Below are 6,665 nucleotides of genomic sequence, written 5' to 3' on the forward strand. Positions count from 1 at the left end.
CTGTCGTTTTCTGACTTTTTAATAATAGTCATTCTGACTGAAAGAAGATGGTATGGCAATGTGGTTTCGATTTGCATCTCTCTGATAATTTATCATGTGAAGCATTTTTTCATATGTTTATTGGCTGCTTGTATGTCTTCTTTTGAGAAGTGTCTGTTCATATATTTTGCTCATTTTTGATGGGCATATTTGTTGTCAGCTCATTCAATCGTCTAAGTTTCTATAGATTCTAGATATTAGACCTTTATCAAATGCATAATTTGAGAATATTTTCTCCCATTCTTCAGGTTGTCTTTTTACTCAGTTGATAGCTTCTTTTTTCTGTGCAGAAGCTCTTTAGTTTAATTAGGTCCCACTTGTCAATTTCTGTTTTTTTTTTCACAATTGTTTTTGAGGACTTAGTTATAAATTCTTTCCCAAAGCCGATGTTCAGAATGGTATTTCTTTGGTTTTCTTTTAGGATTTTTATAGTTTTAGGTCTTACATTTAAATCTACAATCCATCCTGGGGTCACTTTTGCATATGGTGAAAGGTATTGTTCCAGTTTTATTCTTCTGCATATGGATAGTCAGTTATCTCAGCACCATTGGTTGAATAGGGAGTCCTTTCTTCATTATTCATTTTTGTCAACTGTGTGAAATACCAGATGGCTGCAGGTCTATGCCTTTACTCCTGGGTTCTGTCTTCTGTTCCACTGCTCTATGTGTCTGCTTTTGGACCAGTTCCATGTTGTTTTGGCTACTGTAGCCTCAGAGATTAGTTTGAAGTGTGTAATATGATGTCTCTAGCTTTGTTCTTTTTACTTAAGATCGTTTTGGCTATTCAGGCCCTTTTTTTCAGGTTCCATATGAATTTTAGCATAGTTTTGTCTGGTTCAGTGAAACATGTCATTGATTTTTTTACAGGAATAATGTTGGGTGTGTGGATTGGTTTGGGCAGTATGACCATTTTAATGATATTGATTCTTCTAATCCATGAGCATGGAATGTGTTTTTCATTTGTTTGTTTCATCTATAATTTCTTTTAGCAGCGTTTTATAGTTCTCCTTGTAGAGATCATTCACCTCCTTTATTAGCTGTACTCCTCAATATTTCATTTTTTGTGGCTATTATAAATAAAATTGTGTTCTTGTTTGGCTCTTTGCTTTAATGCTATCCATATATAGAAGTGCTACTGATGTGTGTACATTGATCTTGTACCCTGTAACTTTATTGAAATCATTTATGTGTTCCAGGAGACTTTTGGTGGAGTCTTTAGTGTTTTCTAGGTATGGAATAATATTTTCCACGTAGAAAAATAGTTTGATTTCTTGTTTTCCAATTAGGAAGCCTTTCATTTCTTTCTCTTGCCTGATTGCTCTGGCTAGCCCTTTCAATACTATGTTGAATATGAGGGGTGAGAGTGGGCCTCCTTGGTTTGTTTCAGTTCAACGGGAATACTTCCACTGCTTTCCCATTTGGTATGATGTTGGCTGTGGGTTCGTCACAGATGGCTCTTATTATTTTGAGGTATGTTCTTTCAATGTCTAGTTTCTTGAGGGTTTTTATCATGAAGTGGTATTGGATTTTATCAAAAGCTTTTTCTACATCTATTGAGATGATCATGTAATTTTTTGTTTTAATTCTGTTTATGTGGTGAATCACATTTATTGATTTGTGTATTTTGAGTCAACCTGTCATCCTAGGAATTAAGCCTACTTGATTATGGTGAATTAACATTTTGATGATCTGTTGGATTCAGTTTGATAGTATTCTGTTAAGCATTTTTGCTGCTATGTTCATAAGATATATTGGTATGTAGTTTTCTTTTTTCCTTGTGTCTTTGCCAGCTTGCAGTATCAGGATCACGCTGCCTTCATAGAATGAGTTAGGGAGGAGTTTGTTCTCCTCTATTTTTTGGGAGACATTCAAGGGTATTGGTATTAGATCTTCTTTTTATATCTGGTAGAATTTAAGCATCCAAGTTTTTTACTGGGACAGCCATGTAGGCACTTTGGTTATCATGCACCAAAATTCTAGACTCCCAGAAGGAGATTAAGTGTTGCATAAATCATGCCATTTTTATAAAAAGTTTATTCACAGTGATACACTCTCATCAATTAGAGAAAGTTTTATATCAGTGTCGTTAACTTTACCAGTCCAGTTCTCAGATGGAAACCAAGGGCCAACTTTGAAGCAGACTTTTTCAATGATAGTTTCTCAGGCCTGCTGTGTTAGCTTTTTTCTGCACACAGGTTCTGTCTCTTCCAAGCTTGCAACTTCATTAATTTATTTTCTGTTATGTTGGAATATATGGATTTGTCCTCAATTATTTTTTTTCTTATTACTATCATCACCGTTTCTATTATTTCTAAAAGATAACATTTAGTTACAGGGTGTATTTTGGGTAATTAAAATCTTCTAGAATTAGTGGTGAGAGCTGTACAACTTTGTGACTATACTACAAATGACTGAATGTTACACCTTAAGAGGTCATTTTTAAGGTATATCAATTATATCTTAAAGAAAATTTAATGTATTTTTTCAGATCTATTTGAAAGTTTTCTTTTTTTTTAAAGATATTTGTTTAAATAGTGCTTTTCTCATAACAATATCATTCCCTTGGCTCCAAGCTAAATACAATTTTCCAGATTAAAATTTTTCATGGAGAGGGGCATTCATAAAATCTTCACAGTAGTGGTATGGTGGTAACTTTTTGTGGATTGTATTTTATACTGTGCAAATGAAGTTTATGTATATTATTTAACTTTATCCCTCACAACAATTCTTTTTGCTCATTAGGCAATTGGATAATCAAAAATATAATATTTGTATTTATTAATGCTATAATTTGTTCAAAGGACATGACTAGAAGTTTGTCATTTAAAGAGATTTGTCATTTAGAAGACCTTAGTGCAAAGTCTTCTAAGTATGATGTCAGGAGATATCTCAAGCTCTGCACAGATTTGTATGAATCGCTTTGAAAAAGATTAGAACTTTTCCAGGTAGGTACAAAGAACAGATTACCCAGTCTCCTGAAAATGACACAATGCATTCTCTCATTTAAGGTTTTAATTGCATACTGAACTGTCTTCATACTTACTAGTAGCTCAAAATAATAACCATTTTATATTTTTCTGTATATTTTGTGGGCAAGGAAATTGGGATAAGTCCAAATGGATTATAGTTCTTCCCCATGTAGCATGGCAGATATAATTTGGTGCTATTCAGCTAACAACTGAGCTCATCTAGTGGGTCCCTGCCAGTTTCGCTCAAATGCCTGGTATCTTGTTGGGGATAGAAGAAATGTGTGCCACAGATTACTCTATCATGGTAGAAAGACATTTTAAATGGTGGCTCAAAGCTCCAAAAGACCAAAGCAGAATCTGTTGTTACCCTAAAAGGCAGGGCCACGAGCTTCACAGCAGTAGTTTACTTATTATACTCTGCTATTGAAGGCAGTTACCAGCCAGCCTAGACTCAAGAACAGCCACCACCTTTCAATGCAAGAAGTGTCAAAAAAATGCGTGGTCATGTTAAATCCACATAATTTCTCGCAGATGATTTTGTGATTTTATGCTTGCTTTTATGGTGCGGACCCGATGACTAGCTCTTCAGACCTTCAGCAGTAGCCTGTGACTTGATAACCTAGGAATTTGCTTGCATATCTTAGGTGAGTAACAGGATAAGACAACATAAAATTGGCCAGGAAATCCCCTGGGTAATTGCTAAAATAAACCTTTTAAACCTCTCACTTCTGCCCTTCGTTATTAAACACAAACATTTCTTATGAGGCATTCATACGAACCCATCAGTGAAAATTTAGAATGAACAATTCAGTACATTCTGCCTGGTAGCTAGGCTAAATAATTAAAGGTTTATCAAAGATAAGGTCAGACATACTTACTGCTTCAAAAAGCTGTCCCCTTCCTAGTGAATGCAGGATTAGTTTAGCACACTGACCTCTTTGGAGCCCCAGAATACATGAAGCAAAGCTTTAATATATTTTAAAGGTGTGAGAAAAGTGGAGGGCAGAGATTTCAAATCCATGAAAATGAAAATTCCAGGCAAAAACAAAAACAGTAGGATTTAAGTTTTATGGTGTCTGGGGCAGGCATTTGTATAGAAAATTGTTCTGAAAGAGCAGCATGAGAAAGGAAGACAAACTTCATTTACTTTACACTTTTAACTAGGACATTCTCCAGCTAAAGAGTTGAAAGAAAACACCATGACTTAGTTTAAATATTTCCATGCTCCAATTTTTACACTTAATAAATGGGAATATGTTTAATTCTGCCTTACGTTAGGAGTCTCAAACACTTTGGCATCGGTGAATATTGTTTAATTATTGATGTAACTGGTCTTTGACTATAAAATACTCTATGTGTTATTAAAATATTCCCAATATTGATTTGCTATGTAATTTATTTAATACTTATTGAACACTTACTTAGAGCAAGGCCTTGGAAAATTAAGTTTTAAAAAGCTTGAAGTTAGAAATTTAGAATGAATATAAGTTAGTGAAATAAATCAGTATCATTTTTTGTCCTTATCTTTCTTTTCATTTTTGGAACAGAATTAGACTTTTGTTGTTGTTGTTTTTATAAAGAGTGTTTTGACCTTCTTCAAAAAGTTTCCAATCCATTAGAGAGATCCAGACTTCATGGCGGATACCTGGGACTATGAAATGTGCACTTGCCCAAGGTGACAGAATACTGTCATGCAGTGTTTGTTGGCTTTTAAAAATAAACATTGTCATGTCCGAACAAGTGAAAAAAATAGCTACCCCTGCTGTACTTCCAGCTTCTTCTCTGTTTGCTGTCCAGAAGCTCTCTGCCTGAGGTTGAAACACTGAATGGTTCTCACATACGTCTAAATGCATTCCTTGCTGTGAAGCAGGATGGAAACTGGATGTTTCTTATGGTCTAAATTTCCTTGCAATATTATGAACTTTTCTTTTCCTCCCAAAGGGCAAGATAAACAAAGTAAACAAAGAAATAAGGCACATCTTTTAGCATGCTCTGTATTGTAGACTTTAGTTTCTACCTCCTTCACTATGACTCTTAAGAATCTGTGACAATAGTCTTTCTTGAAAAGTTTTCTTGATATTCCAATCCAAGTTTTATTCACTCAGATTCTATTACAGTATTCGACTTCATGTTTCATGTACCACTCATAACAATATATTTATCTCCTCTATGTTCCAAATTCTTGGAGGCCACTGAGTTATTTCATTTCAAAGTTTAGTTGTTGGTTATCCAGAAGACAGAGACACAGAGATAAGGTTCTCCAAAGAACCTTACTGCACATTTGAGAACCATAGTTTCTAGGCTCAAATATCTCATTTGAGAACCACAGTTTCTGAGCTAAAAATATAAACACCTTCATAAAATAATCCAAAAATCTCTTCAAACACAAGATTCATTACACACACACACACAGAGAGAGAGGGAGACAGAGAGAGAGAAATAATGAAGCGTTAAAATTGTTAAAATCTCTCAATATGTGTAAAATCTAACATCCGTTTAATACAATGATGAATAATTGATGCCACAAAAGATAAGGCTGAGGTTATTAAATGTCTAAAAAGTCTATAGATTATCTAGGTTCATTTGCATGATTTCTAGTCCAAAAGAAAGGTAGGGTATATGTAACTAATTGTAAATCTTGAAAGTATAAATAATTTGCATTTAATTATTAATGTAACTGATCCTTGGCTATTCAGTGTTGCTCTACACTGTTGCATCAAGAAAATTTCGAGGATATGAAGAGAAGAGATGGGAAAAACAGCAAGTTCTAATGGGAAAAGTACTGTAGGATAAAAGTAGTACTGCTTCTCTCTGAACCCACTTTCCCTGTTCTCCTGAGCTACCCACATTTACAACAGTCAAGTTTCCAGGAGTGTCACAAAGTTCCAGTTCTATTTCAGGCATGTGTTAATATAAAAGAAATAGCTCTTTACAAGATCATGATCTTGTAAACCGTAGGTCACTATGGTTTCTGGAAACTGCAGACTCTCTATCAACTGCAGTTAATACTGTTTATCAAGGAACCCAATCTAATATGAAACAAGAGGGGCTAGAAATTAGTTACAGACTCCCAGAGACAGAATCAGACAAAGTTAACAATATCCATCTGAGTTTCAGAATTACAAAAAGTTGGAAAATTTGTAGGTAGTCAAAAGATTCAAGGGTTAGGATGTCCAAAATTTATTCACTGATTTAAAATAATTCTACAAATATTTATTTTGCTAGTCACTGTGCTAACTAAGCACTAAGGATAAAGTACTAACAAAAATGGTTTCTCCATTTAATTTTATATTCTCATGGGAGACACAGGCACTGAAAATTCATATAAATAAATTACAACTTAAATATATGATATAAAACAAAAAATACAGCAAGCTACTTGAGGCTAAAAAGAGATATGTTTTCTTCCCCTTAGCTATGGAGCTGGGGAAGAGAAGGTAAAGCAGGACATGCTGCTAATGCTGTGAAATATCACAGATTCATTGCCTTTCAGGTGACAACCCCAAGACAGAGTGGTAGATGCCTGTTTCTCAACTGCATTTGCATAGTTCTTGTTGTGTCACCAACCAAGCCAGATTTCCTGGGGGCTGGAAAGTTGACTGGCTGACTACTGTGTATATCCACGGAGGACTTAAGACAGAGGAGAAAATTACATCAC

The 6,665-nt window shown here is 34.7% G+C and overlaps 1 annotated feature.

The window, feature by feature from the left end:
• Positions 2,847-4,046: an enhancer, noted in NCBI's record as "P300/CBP strongly-dependent group 1 enhancer chr3:162012557-162013756 (GRCh37/hg19 assembly coordinates)". NCBI's record gives its function as "activates an origin of replication core promoter dependent on BRD2, BRD4, P300/CBP, MED14 and CDK7 cofactors, with strong dependence on P300/CBP, by STARR-seq in HCT116 cells {active_cell/tissue: HCT116}" and the evidence as "EXISTENCE:reporter gene assay evidence [ECO:0000049][PMID:35650434]".

This window comes from Homo sapiens, chromosome 3 (genome assembly GCF_000001405.40).
Source record: "Homo sapiens chromosome 3, GRCh38.p14 Primary Assembly".
Lineage (NCBI taxonomy): Eukaryota > Metazoa > Chordata > Mammalia > Primates > Hominidae > Homo > Homo sapiens.